Here is a 17,994-nt window from a genome sequence, read left to right as displayed (position 1 = left end):
ACTGACTTACATCTTTAACACCTAGCCAGTTGGGAACTGGCATAAGGAAACTCAGAATGGATTACATGGCAATATGGAATGTTGGCCTGGTCCCACATTTGAGCTAAGATGTTAATTCTAATTTTAGTCTCCTCAGAATTCTGTATACTCCGTAGCTTGAAACAGGTTTCCAACTGAAACTATTTTTTTCCCCAAGGTTATTTTCACATCTACATTTGTTTGACTCTAGATCTTGGAACTAGTCTATATCAAGTTCCTTTGGGGACACAAAATTGCAAATCTGTTGTTCAGAGAGCAAAACTATTTTAAAAGGTAACACTCGTTCTCATATATTCTTAATAAGCCTTCACAACTTACAGTATGTTGAGGAAACTGAGGCTTAATTGAATCGCGTGCTAAAGTTTAAAGGTTAAAAGTTATGGTAAGTGAGAGTTGGGACTAGTAAGGTGAATTCTGACTGACTCTTGGTCTTTCCATAACAAAACATTGTCTAAAAGTAAACTGTGTGGCCTAAAAATGATTTTGTAAATATTAGAGATCGGTGTTGAACAACAACAGACATTATTTAAAGCTAAAGACTAAATTCACAGAATAGGACCCTAAAGTTGAAGATACCCAGAAGATAATTTCAGCTAGTTTTGTCAAACTCTTTGACTGCAATCCCTAGTATTTTACATAGCATCCCAGTACATGCTTATCCATCTGTACATCTAATTGAAACAAAAGTTTCACAAAACAGTAGGTTCCATTACTATGTGGAATGCATTCTGATTTTCCCATTGCTGATTGCAAACCACTAAATGGATTAGACTACCCACTAATGAGTTGCAGGTGACAAGTTTGAAAAAACAATGCTCTCGGGCAACCTGACCTGATGCGTTAATTTATGAGATTTTATTTTTTGTAGACAGACTAGATTGTCCAAATGAGTATTATTACTTTAACTACTATAGTGCTGTGTTACAGTTGTTTCAGTGATTATTGCATTTTTCAAAACCATTTTTAAAATTCTGTTTGAAATAGTTGGAATAACCTGAAAACATTTAATATCCTGTTTTGGTAAATTTTCATCTCCAAGATTAAATTTTTTTAACCAGCCAACAGATGTTTGAAGGCAAGTTAGGAGATATGATGGATACTGGATACAGTATCCATCCATGTACTAGATACAGTATCCATCCATGTACTGGATACAGTCATACTGTTAGCAAATTTTAGATACATAAAGTAAAACAAACAAAATGCAGTATAAACAGTTAATATTGGAATCTAGTGTTGATTTTATGATTAATCTCAATGAGGTTACTGTATATTCATAATTCTATAGGTACACAAAAATATTTGGTAAAAGATTTATAGTTGAGAAAATGCTAGACACTAAAGTTTGTTAACTTACAATTTAAGAATAAGGGCTGGGTGCAGTTGCTCACGCCTGTAATCCCAGCACTTTGAGAGGCTGAGGTGGGCGGATCATGAGGTCAGGAGTTCAAGACCATCCTGGCAAACGTAGTGAAACCCCATCTCTACTAAAAATAAAAAATTTAGCCAGGCGTAGTGGCGCCTGCCTGTAATCCCAGCTACTCAGGAGGCTGAGGCAGGAGAATTGCTTGAACCCAGGAGGCGGAGGTTGCAGTGAGCTGAGATCGCGCCACTGCACTCCAGCCTAGGCGACAGAGTGAGATTTCATGTCAAAAAAAAAAAAAAAAAGAGTAAGGACATGAGTAAGGTTATGTCTCACCTGTTTTTAAGGAAATGTGGATATAAGATGGGTTCTAGTCCATTAAAAGGTGGTAATTTATACTAAGTCTTACTGTGAGAGACCATAAACTGCTTTAGTATTCAGTGTATTTTTCTTAATTGAAATATTTTACTTATGACTTAGTAGATACTAAGACTTAACCCTTGAGTTTCTATTCTAATAAAGGACTACTAATGAACAATTTTGAGGTTAGACCTCTACTCCATTGTTTTTGCTGAAATGATTTAGCTGCTTTTCCATGTCCTGTGTAGTCCAGACTTAACACACAAGTAATAAAATCTTAATTAATTGTATGTTAATTTCATAACAAATCAGTAAAGTTAGCTTTTTACTATGCTAGTGTCTGTTTTGTGTCTGTCTTTTTGATTATCTTTAAGACTGAATCTTTGTCTTCACTGGCTTTTTATCAGTTTGCTTTCTGTTTCCATTTACATACAAAAAGTCAAAAATTTGTATTTGTTTCCTAATCCTACTCCTTGTTTTTATTTTGTTTTTTTCCTGATACTAGCAATCATCTTCTTTTCATGTTTATCTTTTCAATCACTAGCTAGAGATGATCGCTATGGAAAATCCTGCAGACTTGAAGAAGCAGTTGTATGTGGAATTTGAAGGAGAACAAGGAGTTGATGAGGGAGGTGTTTCCAAAGAATTTTTTCAGCTGGTTGTGGAGGAAATCTTCAATCCAGATATTGGTAAATACATTAGTAATGTGATTATGGTGTCGTATCATCTTTTGAGTTAGTTATTTGTTTATCTTACTTTGTAAATATTTTCAGCTATGAAGAGCAGCAAAAGAAGGATTTGGTATGGATTACCCAGAATCACACATCATGACTGAATTTGTAGGTTTTAGGAACTGATTTGTATCACTAATTTATTCAAATTCTTTTATTTCTTAGAAGGAATATTCTAATGAAGGAAATTATCTCTTTGGTAAACTGAATTGAAAGCACTTTAGAATGGTATATTGGAACAGTTGGAGGGATTTCTTTGCTTTTTGTTGTCTAAAACCATCATCAAACTCACGGTTTTCCTGACCTGTGAACTTCAAAGAACAATGGTTTGAAGAGTATTGAGAGACTGTCTCACAAGTATGTCATGCTCAAAGTTCAGAAACACTAGCTGATATCACATTAATTAGGTTTATTTGCTATAAGATTTCTTGGGGCTTAATATAGGTAGTGTTTCCCCCAAACTTTTTGAACTCCAGAACTCTTTTTCTGCCCTAACAGAAGAGTTGTTATTGAACACAGTTTGGGAAAGGCTGATGGGATTTGGAAATTTGAAAGTGAAGGATCAGAATTTTAGTTTTTTCCCTTTTGTGATAAAGTAGAACAGGGAAAAGATGCAGTCTTTTGGGTAGTCTACTTAACTTCATAATTCTGAACTGGTTCAGTTTCTACTGTAAATATAACCACTTAGTAACTGAGCTTGCTTACGTTTAAAATTGAGTACATGACAATTACAGGAAAAGGTTTCCACTGAAGGTACCATCAGAATTGTGAGGAGTGTGCATAGAATAATGTATGTCATTTCCCTTCAGCTTTGAGATTTGAGCTGTTATAGCCTGTTGATTCTAATTGAGTTGACCTTTCTGTTACTGTTCTTAGTCACACACACACACACACACACACACACACACACACACACACACACGCATCCCTTATCTATAATCTAGCTAGTGTTTTATTAATAACTAAAAAGCTATGCCATTTGTATGTAGTTTGTTCTAAGTAAATCAGAGATACATAAGACGACGCCCTTTTTGAGATAGAAAATTATAAACTTCATAAAGTTCTTAAATTTGGTAAACCTTAGCTCTAGCTTTTGATGTATCTAGAAATGTTAAACCTTAGCTATAAAGCATACTTGCATTATATGCAGAAATACTTGTAAGAAAAAACATAGATTAAGCAGTTCCAGTAAGATAACTGAAGTGATGGCAGTAGAAGTATCAAAAAGGAGTATTTTACCAGGAGGTTATGGTGCTTTTCTCCCTGGAACATGAGAAAATGTGCCTAAAATGGAACTTCAGAGTTATATTCTGATTAACTTATAGCTTGTTGCTCTTGGTTCCAAGGAAGGGCATTTGTGACATTTTATTAAATTCATTAATTTTTTAGACACACCATTGTCAGCTTGAACAAATTTATTAATTGTAATTATTTGTCAGCTGTTCTTGATCCTGTTAATACCATACTTATAACTAAAAGCATTTCCATGGATGTTGTAACTTGGCCTGTAAAAAAAATGTTTAGATAGAAACCATGAAACTCAAATATGAATTGTTTAATTTTCAAACCATTTTGCATTCAGAAAATGTCCTAAGCTTAATTCATACTCCTAGTGATCAAGGAAACATGTTAAAGCTCCTTATTTTTAAACTTAAAGTGACAATGACATTTTCAAAGATTTTAAAATTCTTATAAACAGGTTAAAATACTTATATACTGTATAATTTGATTTCTGATTTCTAAGCTCTACTTTTCTATTGGAAATTACAGATTTTTTTCAGACTTAATTCTTAAGATGTTTTCATTGTTTCACAGTAGCAACTAAACATGTAGTAAAATGATTTAAATTCAATTAAAATTTTTTTCCTTAGTCATTTAAAAGGGAAGAAATCAATTTTTAGTAGTACTCATTCCAAAGATTCCAATTTTCCTTTTTTTTAATCTTTTATTTTTTGGTGGAGGGAGGCAGGATCTGGCTCTGAGGCCCAGGCTGGAGTGTAGTGGTTCTGTCTCGGCTCACTGCAACCTCCACCTCCCAGGCTGAAGACTCAAACCATCCCCATGCATCACCCTCTCAAGTAGCTGAGACTATAGGCACATGCTACCACACCCAGCTTATTTTTTGTGTTTTTGTAGAGATGGGGTTTCTCCATCTTGCCCAGGCTGGTCTTGAACTCCTGAGCTCAAGTGATCTGCCTGCCTCAGCCTCCCCAAAGTGCTGGGATTACAGGTGTGAACTACCACACCGGGCCCCAATTTTCCAATGAGTGATATAAAAAAGGCCTCCACGCAGGCGCCTGTAGTCCCAACTACTCCGGAGGCTGAGGCCAGAGAATGGCATGAACCCGGGAGGCGGAGCTTGCACTAAGCTGAGTGCTGCTGCACTCCAGCTTGGGCGACAGAGCGAGACCGTCTCAAAAAAAAAAAAAAAAAAAAAAGCCTCCATGATTGGGGCTTGCATAGTGAAGACCATGTGAAATTGAAAGACTACGAAACTACTTTTCTTTTACGTATTGGCCCATAATTAACATGTGTATTGAATAGCTTTGTTTATCTAAGTTCATCAGATTTATCCAGGTTTATGTATTTCAGATCATCTGATTTTATTAGGAAAATGCTAGAAAAATTTCATGGCACCATTGTCTAATTTTGAAAAAACGAACCTTTCTTTACTGTGATTAAAAATTGTTTTTTAGGCCAGGTGTGGTGGCTCACGCCTGTAATCCCAGCACTTTGGGAGGCTGAGGCTGGCAGATCACGAGGTCAAGAGGTTGAGACCATCCTGGCAAACATGGTGAAACCCCTTCTCTACTAAAAATACAAAAATTAGCTGGCGTGGTGGTGCACACCTGTAGTCCTAGCTACTCAGGAGGCTGAGGCAGGAGAATTGTTTGAACCTAGGAGGCAGAGGTTGCAGTGAGCTGAGATCGTGCCACTCCAGCCCACCCTGGGTAACAGAGCGAGACTCCATCTCAAGGAAAAAAATGAAAAATTGTTTTCAAAAATAGTACGTGTGGTACAGATATAAGTAATTATATTTTTATAAATGAAACACTTTGGAAATGTAGCCATTTTTTGTTTTTTTATGTTTATTTTTCAGCTATGGGTGGATAAAGCATGAATATAACTTTTCTTATGTGTTAGTAGAAAATTAGAAAGCTTGAATTTAATTAACGTATTTTTCTACCCGATGCCACCAAATTACTTACTACTTTATTCCTTTGGCTTCATAAAATTACATATCACCATTCACCCCAATTTATAGCAGATATATGTGGACATTGTTTTCTCAAGTGCTAATATAATAGAAATCAATGTTGCATGCCTAATTACATATATTTTAAATGTTTTATATGCATAATTATTTTAAGTTTATATTTGTATTATTCATCAGTCCTTAATAAAATACAAAAGTAATGTATTTTTAAAAATCATTTCTTATAGGTATGTTCACATACGATGAATCTACAAAATTGTTTTGGTTTAATCCATCTTCTTTTGAAACTGAGGGTCAGTTTACTCTGATTGGCATAGTACTGGGTCTGGCTATTTACAATAACTGTATACTGGATGTACATTTTCCCATGGTTGTCTACAGGAAGCTAATGGGGAAAAAAGGAACTTTTCGTGACTTGGGAGACTCTCACCCAGTAAGTTCTTTGTCATTTTTTTAATTCAGTCTCTTAGATTTTATTTAAATGCAAAAATTTAATTTATGTCAAAATTTTAAAGTTTTTGTTTAGAATCTTTGTTGATACTCTTATCAATAAGATAAAAATGTTTTAATCTGACCGAAGTACCAGAAACACTTAAAAACTCAAAGGGGGACATTTTTATATATTGCTGTCAGCACGAAGCTTTTGTAAGATTGATTTCATAGAGAAGTGTTTCTAAACATTTTGTTTGTGTTTTAGTGAAATCTTAAGAGATAGGTAAAAATCAGAGTAGCCCTGGCTAAGGGTCTTGGTAGTTACAACGAGTGTGCCTGCTCCTACCACCCCCACCCCCACCTTGAGACACCACAGAATTTCTCATAGAGCACAGTGTGAATTCTATTGCTAAATTGGTGGTATGGGGTTTCTCAGCAGAGAATGGGACATCACAGTGACTGACAATCTTTCTTTTATAGGTTGGAAACTATTTGGGGGACTGGAGGGATACTGTCTACACTTTTTACAATTTTTATTGATAAGATTTTTGTTGTCTTCTAAGAAGAGTGATATAAATTATTTGTTGTATTTTGTAGTTCTATGGTGGCCTCAATTTACCATTTCTGGTTGCTAGGTTCTATATCAGAGTTTAAAAGATTTATTGGAGTATGAAGGGAATGTGGAAGATGACATGATGATCACTTTCCAGATATCACAGACAGATCTTTTTGGTAACCCAATGATGTATGATCTAAAGGAAAATGGTGATAAAATTCCAATTACAAATGAAAACAGGAAGGTAATAAATGTTTTTATGTCACATTTTGTCTCTTCATTAACACTTTCAAAGCATGTATGCTTATAATTTTTAAAGAAGTATCTAATATAGTCTGTACAAAAAAAAAACAAGTAACTAAGTTTATGTAAATGCTAGAGTCCACTTTTCTAAATCTTGGATATAAGTTGGTATGAAAGCACACAGTTGGGCACTAAAGCCCCTTTTAGAGAAAGAGGACATGAAGCAGGAGATAGTTAATAGCTAAGTGTGGTTGTAGTATAAAGCAAGAAGCAGGGTGTTTCTTGTATTAAGCTGTAAGCAGGAACCTCATGATTAAGGTCTTTATCACAGAACAAATAAAAATTACATTTAATTTACACATGTATATCCTGTTTGTGATAAAAATACATTTCTGAAAAGTATACTTTACGTCAGATTTGGGTTTCTATTGACTAAAATGTGTTCATCGGGAATGGGAATAACCCAGAACATAACAAGCAAAAAATTATGACAAATATATAGTATACCTTTAAGAAACATGTTTATATTGATATAATTTTTTGATTAAATATTATACACACTAAGGGTACAAAGCACATTTTCCTTTTATGATTTGATACAGTAGTTTATGTGTCAGTCAGTACTTCCACATTTTTGCTGAACTGGATACAGTAGGCAGCTTACCAAATATTCTATGGTAGAAAACTTGGGACTTCCTGGTTTGCTTAAATCAAATATATTGTACTCTCTTAAAACGGTTGGCATTTATAAATAGATGGATACATGGTTTAAATGTGTCTGTTTACATACCTAGTTGAGAGAACCTAAAGAATTTTCTGCGTCTCCAGCATTTATATTCAGTTCTGTTTAATACATTATCGAAATTGACATTTATAAGTATGACAGTTTTGTGTATATGGCCTTTTCATAGCTTAATATTGGCTGTAACAGAGAATTGTGAAATTGTAAGAAGTAGTTTTCTTTGTAGGTGTAAAATTGAATTTTTAAGAATATTCTTGACAGTTTTATGTATATGGCCTTTTCATAGCTTAATATTGGCTATAACAGAGAATTGTGAAATTGTTAAGAAGTAGGTGTAAAATTGAATTTTTAAGAATATTCTTGAATGTTTTTTTCTTGGAAAAATTAAAAAGCTATGCAGCCCAATAACTTGTGTTTTGTTTGCATAGCATATTATAAGAAGTTCTTGTGATTAATGTTTTCTACAGGAATTTGTCAATCTTTATTCTGACTACATTCTCAATAAATCAGTAGAAAAACAGTTCAAGGCTTTTCGGAGAGGTTTTCATATGGTGACCAATGAATCTCCCTTAAAGTACTTATTCAGACCAGAAGAAATTGAATTGCTTATATGTGGAAGCCGGGTAAGAAAGCAGGTGTCTGCAAAAAGTCATGTATCGATTTATTGTTTGTAATGATACAGTAGTATAGCAGATAACTAAGACATATTTTCTTGAATTTGCAGAATCTAGATTTCCAAGCACTAGAAGAAACTACAGAATATGACGGTGGCTATACCAGGGACTCTGTTCTGATTAGGTGAGGTACTTAGTTCTTCAGAGGAAGATTTGATTCACCAAAGGGGTGTGTGATTTTGCTTCAGACCTTTATCTCTAGGTACTAATTCCCAAATAAGCAAACTCACAAATTGTCATCTATATACTTAGATTTGTATTTGTAATATAATCACCATTTTTCAGAGCTAATCTTGTGATTTATTTCATGAATGAAGTGTTGTTATATATAAGTCTCATGTAATCTCCTGCATTTGGCGTATGGATTATCTAGTATTCCTCACTGGTTAGAGTATGCTTACTGCTGGTTAGAAGATAATTAAAATAAGGCTACCATGTCTGCAATTTTTCCTTTCTTTTGAACTCTGCATTTGTGAACTGTTACATGGCTTCCCAGGATCAAGCACTTTTTGAGTGAAATGGTAGTCTTTTATTTAATTCTTAAGATAATATGTCCAGATACATACTAGTATTTCCATTTTACACCCTAAAAAACTAAGCCCTGAATTCTCACAGAAAGATGTAGAGGTTCCCAGTTCTATCTGCTTTTAAGCAAATGCCCTTACTACTCTACTGTCTACTTCTGTGTACTACATCATCCAATTCTGAAAGACATAGGCTTCCCCATCCCCTGCTAAGACTGGTTCAAGTGGCAGCTACTGATGGATTGCAGTGAGAAGGCATGCAAACACGTACCTTCCTGGAAGTTGTCTCCAAAGGCTATTGCTCTAAGACTCAAGTATATAAACACTAGAATGAATATCAACTCTATCTAGCAATAAATGTTATTTTTATATTACAGTTGACCCTTGAACAACACAGCTGTGAACTTCATGGGCCCTCTGACATGCAGATTTTTTTTCTCAACTAAGAGCAGATTCAGTATTGGTGGGACTCAGAACCTGCATATACAGAGGGCTGACTTTCATACATGCCAGTTTCACAGGGCCAACTGCAGAACTTGAGCGTGCATGGATTTTGGTATACACACGTGGTCCTGGAACCAATCCCTGTCACATATACCAAGGGATGGCTGTATGTTACTTTATATTCATTTGTTCTGTTATTTTATAAGGTTGTTCGTCGTGGTATGTGGGAATTCACCAGTATTTCTTCTTTCTGGTGCACCGTTGGTCATTTCTGGCAGCAGTGGTGAATGTATTTACTCTTAGCAACCTCTGTGCTGCTACCTGTTCTGAGTTTCAAAGGTGATTCATTAAAGGGTTGGGATAACATGGTGATAGGAAAAACCCCCCTCATCAGTCACAAGGAGTATAACAGCAATATCTCTGTAATATGATTGATCATAGATATAATTTCTAGTAGGAAAAAAAGTCATATCTTGATGCATCTCTGAGAATAGTTGAACATATCTTGTGCTATTCTTTATAGAGAAATTATCTTTGAAATTAAAGTCTTAATTTTACTTCTAGCTTTTTATAACAACATAATCCCTACTTGGTATGTATCTTAAGATCATTTTTAAATGTATGATTTGAAGGGCAAACTAGTGTTATGTGAAAAATGACAGATAAAGTAGCTTCCAACTCATCCTCAAGAGTTGATGATATTCTAAACCTTTTCTAACTAAATTCAGCTTCTTAATTTTCTCAATATAAATATGATGAAAATATTAATTCATTAAATAGTCTACAAGTATTCGGTAGTTGAAGACTTAAAGTAGTGCTTGTAATAACAGAAGAGAAAAAAGACATTACAGGCGTATCTCACTTTATTGCACTTTGCAGATACTGAGTTTTTTTGGTGGCAACCCTGCATCAAGCAGGTCTACCAGCACCATTTTTCCAACAAAATGTGCTCACTTCATTAGCATTTTTAGCAATGATTTTAAATTAAGATAATGTACTTATTTTTAGACAATGCTGTTACACACTTGACTACAGTATAATGTAAACGTAACTTTTATAAGCACTGGGAAACAAAAAAATTTGTGTGACTCACTTTACTGCCATAATCACTTTATTTGCCATGGTCTGAAACTGAACCGGCAGTATCTCTGGGGTATGCCTGTATAGATATTTTGGTTGGTATTTATTTATTGTATGCAGAATTCATAAAAATAAAAACTGCGAGGCTGTTTAATACATTTCAACTAAAAGTTGCCAGCATCATTAATATGTAAACCACTAGAAATAAGATTTTGTTAATTTTTTGTTTGTTTGTTTAAACAGTCTTGCTCTGTCACTGAGGCTGGAGTGCAGTGGCGCAGTCTCAGTTCACTGCAACCTCCGCTTCCTGGGTTCAAGTGATTCTCCTGCCTCAGCCTCCTGAGTAGCTGGGGTTACAGGTGCACACCACTACACCTGGCTAATGTTTGTATTTTTAGTAGAGATAAGGGTTTTGCCATGTTGGCCAGGCTGGTCTCAAACTCCTGACCTCTGGTGATCCGCCCGCCTCGGCCTCCCAAAGTGCTGGGATTACAGGCGTGAGCCACCATACCTAGCAAAATCAACTCTGAATCTGAATCAAACCTTTGAAACAAAAATTACCAATCAAAAAAACGTGCAATCCCTGCTCCTAACTTTGAAAAAGTGACAAGGAAGGACATTTGGAAAGATGTCTCTAAGCAGTCAACAAGAAATGAAATCAGGGAGAGCTTTTTCAGCACCTGAAAAAATACATGCAAAAACGCCCGAGGCGGGCAGATCACCGGAAGCCAGGAGTTTGAGACCAGCCTGGCAAACATGGGGGAAACCCCGTCTCTACTAAAAATACAAAAATTAGCTGGGTTTGGTGGCAGGCAGCTGTAATCCCAGCTCCTCGGGAGGCTGAGGCAGGAGAATCGCTTGAACCTGGGAGGCGGAGGTTGCAGTGAGCCTAGATCGTGCCACTGCACTCCAGCCTGGGCAACAGAGTGAGATTCCATCTCAAAAAAACGAAAAACAGATTCAGAGTTTATTTCCTTCCCAAATACTTCATAGATGTTGGTTTGTAGGAATAACTTAAAAGTCTCACTCGCTTTCTGTCTTTTCTAGTAATTTTTATCGTGGATTCTGATTGCCTAGATCTGCTAATTCATTGAGGGTTACAAAATTGTGATACTCGAATTCTTTATTCCTCCTTCCTTTATTACCTGTAATACTTCTTAAGAAAAACTCTTTCTCATCAACTCTATGACTACCCTAAATTACAGATCCACATATAGGATCTGTATACATGTATATAAATATGTACATATCATATACGATAATGCTTAATTCTTTCCCATTACTTACTAATTTTCAAAATAATGTGATTCCCTAACTGCTCTCTGAATGTTATCAATGTGGTGGTAATAATGGTGGTGTCGATGTTGTGTGGGGTAAAATTTGAATACAGTGAAATACCCAGGGCTTAATTGGGTTAGTTTTTAAAAATTACATTTATGTAACCATATTTCAGTCAAGGTGTAGACTATGTCCATCAGCACAGAGTTCCCATGTTTTCCCTTCCAGTGAATCTCCATCCCCCATTAGAACAGACAATAACTGTCCTAATTACTGTCACTGTAGCTTACTTTTGTCTGCTCTAGAATTTCTTATGAATGGAATCTTATGTACTTGTACTGCATGAAGACTCTTTAGATTCATCCATGTTATTGCATTGATTTATAGTGCCTTTTAAAAAATTATAGAGTAGTGTTGCATTATATGAATACGCAAAGTGTTTTTTTTTTACCTGTTGGTGGACAGTTGGATTGTTTCCAGTTTGGGACTATTGTGAATAAAGCTGTGTAGTCTTATTGTGGAAATGTTTTATTTCTCCTGGGCAAACATGTAGGAGTGGAGTTTCCAAAGCATATAGCAGGTGCATATTTAACTAAAAGTGTCTTTTCCTCATTTTTAATATTGGATTTTTGTATTTCTATTGACTATAGATATTTTCTTAAAATATAGCAGTATGTCTTATCCTTAGTTTTGCTTTTTTTTGGTTTCAGTTATCTTTGGTCAGCAGTGGTCCAAAAATATTTATTAAGTAGAAAATTCCATGAATAATTCAGGGTTTTTGATGTATGTGTGTGTTGGCGGGTGCAGGGCAGGGAGAGTTGGTTGGTTGGTTCGTTGGTTTTTTTTTTTTTAAAGAGACAAAGTCTCTGTCATCCAGGCTGGAGTGCAGTAGCATGACTACAGATTGTTATAAACTGAAACTCCTGGGCTCATGCAATCTTCTTACCTCAGTCCTCTGAGTATCTGGGCTCATGCAATCTTCTTACGTCAGCCCTCTGAGTAGCTGGTACTACAGGTGTGCAGCTAATTTTTAGTTGGTTATTTTTTTGTAGAAACAGGGTCTCACTATGTTGCCCAGGCTGGTTTCAAACCCCTGGACTCTAGCAATTCTTCCACTTCAGCCTTCCAAAGTGCTGGGATTACAGGCGTGAGCCACTGCACCCAGCCAACAACTCTTAAGTTTTAAATTACATGCTATTCTGAGTAACATGGTGAAATCTCCCACCTTTCCACCCAGGGCATGAATTATCCCTTTTTCCAGTATATCGTTGTTGTCTAGACTACCCACCACTTTTAGTCTACTGGTTATCAGATCGACTGTTGCAGTATCACATGCTTGTGTTCAAGTAACCCTTATTTTACTTAATAATGGCCCTAAAGCACAAGAGCAGTGATGTTGGAAATTCGAATATATATGCCAAAGAGAAGCTGGAAAGTGCTTCCTTTAAGGAAAGAATTTAAAAATCATATGTTGAGGTTGCTAAAATCTATGGTAAAAATGAGTATTGTATCTATGAAATTGTGAAGAAGGAAAAATAAATCATGCATAGTATATACAGGGTTCAGTACTATTTGCAATTTCAGACATCACTGGAGGTCTTGGAACGTATTCCCCATGGGTAAGTGGGGAATACTGTATATTCTATATAAAAGGCCCATTTCTGATAAGTAGTTTATGATTATTTTCTCCAAGTTTTCATTTTCTTAAGTGTCTTCTGGTGAGCAGAAATTATTCATTTTTTGAGGTCTAATTTATTTTTTCTTTTATGGTTTTTTATGTCCTTTTATATCTTTGCCTAGCCCAAAGCCACAAATATCTTATGTTTTCTTCTAATTGTGTAATATAGGTTTAACTTTTATGTGTAAATCTGTGATCCACCACCAATAAAATTTTGTGATGCTGTTAGACAGTGGATGTCATTCATTTTCTAAATAGTTTTATTTATTTGTTCCAGTACCATTTGTTAAAGAGACTTTTCTTTCCCCATTGAATTGCCTTTGCACCTTTGTTGAAAATCAATCTGTGTGTGAGCCGTGTTTCTGGATTCTCCATTCTGTTCTATTAATTTGTTTTGTCCTTTTGCCAAAATGACACTGTTATGGTTACTGCAGCTTCAAATCAGATGCTGTGAGTCCCACAACTTTTTCATTAGGTTGCTTTGACTTTTATTTGCATATAAATATTAGAATCAGTTAATTTTTACAAACAAAAGGGCAAAGCCTGCAGAGATTTTGATTTGGGTTGCCTTGACTGGGGCAGGTCAATTTGGAGAGAATTCACATTTTAACAATATATTCTTCCAATCCTTGAACACCGTACGTCTCTCCATTTATTTAGATGTTTGTTAGTTTATCTCAGCACTGTTTTATAGTTTTTAATGTTGAAATCATGTACTCTTTGGTTAGGAATAAACTTAAAATATGTTTCTAATGCTATTAGTGGTATTTTTTAAATACTGCTTTTCACTTGTTTATTACTATCTTGAAATAAAATCGATTTTTATATATTGATCTTATATCCTATAACCTTTCTAAATTGACTTATTCTAGTAGTTATTTAGTAGATTTCATAGGGTTTTCTAGTAAACAGCTATGTCATCTACAAATCAAGACAGGTTTCTTTCTTTCCAATGTTTATGTTATTTATTACTGTTCCTCTATTGCACTGGCTAGAACCTTTGGTAGAAGGTATTCTTACTTTATTCCTCATTTTATTGAGAGAGACTATAATATTTACCATTAACTGTGATGTTACTTGTAAACAAAAAGTTTGTATTTCTCTGGGATTAAAAACCAAGAGTCCATTTGGTTTTTTACTGTTGAGTTTTAAGGGTTCCTTATGTATTTTCTAGGTATGTTCTTCCTTCATTGAATTGTTTTTTTCACATACGTTAAAAATCACTTGAGAATATTTATATAGGTCTGCTTCTGAGATTTATCTGTTTATCAGGTTTTGTTTCATTTATTTTGAGGCTCTATCATTTGGTTCATACCCATTTAGAATTACTATGTCTTGGTGATTGGTCCTTTATCATTATATAAGTTTTTTCTGTTTTGCGATTTTCTTTGCTCTGAATCTGATATGAGTGTAACCATTTGTTTTTTTTTAAATTAATGTTTGCATGATCTGTCTTTTACTATCATTTTACTTTCATCCTGTGTTGCTGAATTTGAAACGAATCTCTTGTAAACAGCATATAGTTGTCATTTTAATAAAAACTGTTAGTCTCTGCCTTTTAATTTTTTTATTTAGACCATTTATATTTAAGGTAATTATTGATATGTTAGGGAGAGGTCTGCCATTTTATTATTTGTTTTCTGTTTCTGTCTTCTGTTTATGGTTATTTATTTATTGCCTTCCATGATTACTTGAACATTTTTTAAGATTTTTAAGACCCTTGATTTATTTAGTGTTTGGGTTTTGTTTTGTTTGTTTGTTTGTTTTTGTTTCGAGACACAGTCTCGCTCTGTTGCCCAGGCTGGAGTGCAGTGGCACAATCTCAGCTCACTGCAACATCGGCTTCCCAGGTTCAAGCAATCCTCCCGCCTCAGCCTCCTGGGTAGCTGGGACTACAGGCACATGCCACCACACCTGGCTAATTTTTGTATTTTTATTAGAGATGAGGTTTCACCATATTGGCCAGGCTGGTCTCGAACTCTTGACCTTGTGATCTGTCCACCTCAGCCTCCCAAAGTGCTGGAATTACAGGCATGAGCCACCATGCCTGGCCTTCTATGTGTTTTTTATAGTTGTTTTCACGGTCATTGTGGGTATCACATTATAGATAATGTGACTTACCACCATTCACTGCCATCAATACCATTACATGGAATGAGATATGGAAACCTTAATTTCAGTTGGGTCTCTTTCCCCACTTTTAAATAGTATTGTTTTGAGGATTAATGCTATTACAGTTTTTGTATCAGTTATCCAATATGACTTATAGAACTTATCAAGGGAGTGATGCTCTGTTGTATGTACCCATGTTTCTGCTATTTCCATTATTTTTTCCAAGATTCCATCTTTTATTACTTCCATTAGCCAGTCTTCAAAGGCAGTTCTGCTAGTGAGAAATTCTTTTTGTTTTTCTCTTTCTGAAGATGACTTTATTTTCCCTTTATTCCCAAAGAATAGTTTTATTTGTGCTATTTGGGGTTCGCTCAGCTTCTTGAAGCTGTAAGTTTGTGTCTTTTGCCAAACATGGAAAATTTTCAACCATTATTTCTTCAGGTGTTCTTTCAGCGTCACTCTTTTCTCCATTCTAGGCCTCTAATGATACAAATGTTGAGTCATTTGTTACTGTTCCACATGGACCTGAGGCATGGTTCATTTTTCAGTCTATTTTCTCTCTTTTGTTCAGATTTCTCTCCTTTGTCATCTTCACTCTACTGTTGAGCCCATCTAATGATTATTTTTCTCCTATTGTATTTTTTAGGTCTATAATTTCCATTTGCTTTTTTTTCCTTGTATCTTGTTTCCTTGCTGAGATTTTCTATTGTTTCGTTTTTGAAACAGTAGAACTTGTAATTGCTTGTCAAATCATTTCTCTGATGGCAGCATTAAGATCCTTGCCAGATAATTTCAGCATCTTACTCATCCCAGTGTTGGCGTTTTCTTTCCTTCATGTAATTTTCCTGGTTCTTGGTATGACAGATAATTTTTGGATTGTGTCTCGGACATTTTAGTTATTATATCAGGAGACTCTGTACTTTTTAAAAATTTTAACTTCAGTAGTAACCTGTTAAGGTATAGCATGTAGGTACTAGCATATATTTGTGAGCTGTGGTTCCAGTGACCATTTTTCAGAGGCTTTATGGTGCTGTTTTGGTTTGTTGCTTTTATCTCAGTCCACTGGGGCTCGCACTGGTTCCTAGTAGTGCTGCTTGAGGGGCCTTCTCCAGGCTGAGCTGCGCAGAGTGTGTTTGGGTGAGGGAAGAGGACCCCCACTAGATTTTCGTGGGCTGGAGAGTGCTTCCTGAGCCTTGTGCCTGTTGTGGCAGGCTCCCCCTTGCTGGTGTTCCTGGCAGTGCTCCTGACCACATTGTGTCCCTGGGCTGTGGAACACTTGCAGGAAAGGTGAACACTGCCAGGACCAATTATAGCAGAATTCCTCCTGCCAGTACACAGCAGCACTGTGGCTCTGGACCAGCAAGGAGAGTCTCAAGCATGGGTTTGTTTCTTTTTGATTTTAAGATTTTTCTTCTGCCTTCAGGTTCTGGTATTATTGTTCTGTTTTATTCACCTTTATGTTTCTTCTAGTTTAGTTTTAGTTTCTTTGTATTTGATGGGATTTTTTTCCTTGCATTTCTAATTACTCCTTAGTTGTGTCATGTCTTCCTTTTTTTCAGTTACCCTCATTCAGAAATTTCCCATTTCTAATGATTTGTTATTTTTTAAATTCTTTTTAGCTCAGTTTGAAATTTGTTTACAGTTTTCATGTTTTATTTGCATATTGTTTCATGTACTTTGATTTTCTGTAGGGACACCATTCTCATGTATATGCACATACTTTTTCTCTAATAATTACACTGTTTCACTCTGTTCTGTTATTTATTTATTTGTGTGTGTGTGTGTGTGTGTGTGAGTGAAATGAGTTTCTCATACTTGGACGAGGGAGAGATGGGCCAGGATAACTTTTTTCGCTTTTTAGGGACGAGGAGAAGTCTGTGTTTTTGTAAAATGGTCAAAAATATGCCCTTGTGCTTTCTGAAACTGCCTTCTTTACTCCTCTATCCCACACATATATTTGAACTTTTTTTTGGTTTTTATTACTGACCTGGTCCATTCGGAAGTTATTCCCAGAAGTTTTTCCTCGGTACAAGGTTTGTTTCTGGTGGGGGTTTGGTATTCGGGTGTTTTAAGGGCCCAGAGCTTACTACATCATGATCCCTTTGTAATCATCTGCAAATTAGATCCTGTAGAACTTTTTAAAACTTTAAGCCCTGTTTTCAGATTGGCCTGTGCTTTCCAGTGGGTTGGCAGTGTTCTCAGGGCTGTCAGAAACCCAGTCAGTTACCTTGCATCTGCTTCCTTACTAACCAGTCTTGTAGTTGTCAGAGCTTTGTTTCTGTCCAATTATATGCAATGGTTCATGGTTTTGTTGTAGATAATGTCTCTGGGTCTTTGGTTTTCTCATTCAGTTTGCTGTTTTTGTAGGGGAGGTTGGGAGGGAATAAAACAAAAAATAATAATAATAATAACTATGTCGTTGCCATCATCATCTTTCCAGAACCTGCTACCTGCCCTTCACCTGATTTTCGTATTTATCAGTATCATTACCTTAATCTGTTATCTCATTGGGGATTGCAAA

General features: G+C 35.6%; 1 protein-coding gene and 1 long non-coding RNA gene across 50 annotated transcripts in view; one reads left to right on the top strand and one right to left on the bottom strand.

Moving 5' to 3' along the window:
• The window catches only part of SNHG14 (small nucleolar RNA host gene 14), a 595,855-nt gene that overhangs the window by 56,629 nt on the left and 521,232 nt on the right, over positions 1 to 17,994 (bottom strand). The window lies entirely within an intron of this gene.
• Positions 1 to 17,994, top strand: part of UBE3A (ubiquitin protein ligase E3A) — a 105,329-nt gene that overhangs the window by 76,223 nt on the left and 11,112 nt on the right. For 40 of the 49 annotated variants that reach the window (XM_017022548.3, XM_017022547.3, XM_047433008.1 and 37 more), the window contains 5 exons: positions 2,307 to 2,451; positions 5,938 to 6,143; positions 6,778 to 6,942; positions 8,151 to 8,306; positions 8,408 to 8,481. In XM_017022548.3, the coding sequence (XP_016878037.1) occupies positions 2,307 to 2,451; positions 5,938 to 6,143; positions 6,778 to 6,942; positions 8,151 to 8,306; positions 8,408 to 8,481 (746 nt within the window). The remainder of the gene's footprint in view (positions 1 to 2,306; positions 2,452 to 5,937; positions 6,144 to 6,777; positions 6,943 to 8,150; positions 8,307 to 8,407; positions 8,482 to 17,994) is intronic. The other 9 variants (NM_001354548.2, NM_001354545.2, NM_001354547.2 and 6 more) reach the window with 3 other exon arrangements.

The sequence above is a fragment of the Homo sapiens genome, chromosome 15, assembly GCF_000001405.40.
Source record: "Homo sapiens chromosome 15, GRCh38.p14 Primary Assembly".
NCBI lineage: Eukaryota > Metazoa > Chordata > Mammalia > Primates > Hominidae > Homo > Homo sapiens.
Note: the sequence above shows the minus strand (reverse complement) of the source record. Positions and strands in the feature narration are given on the sequence as shown.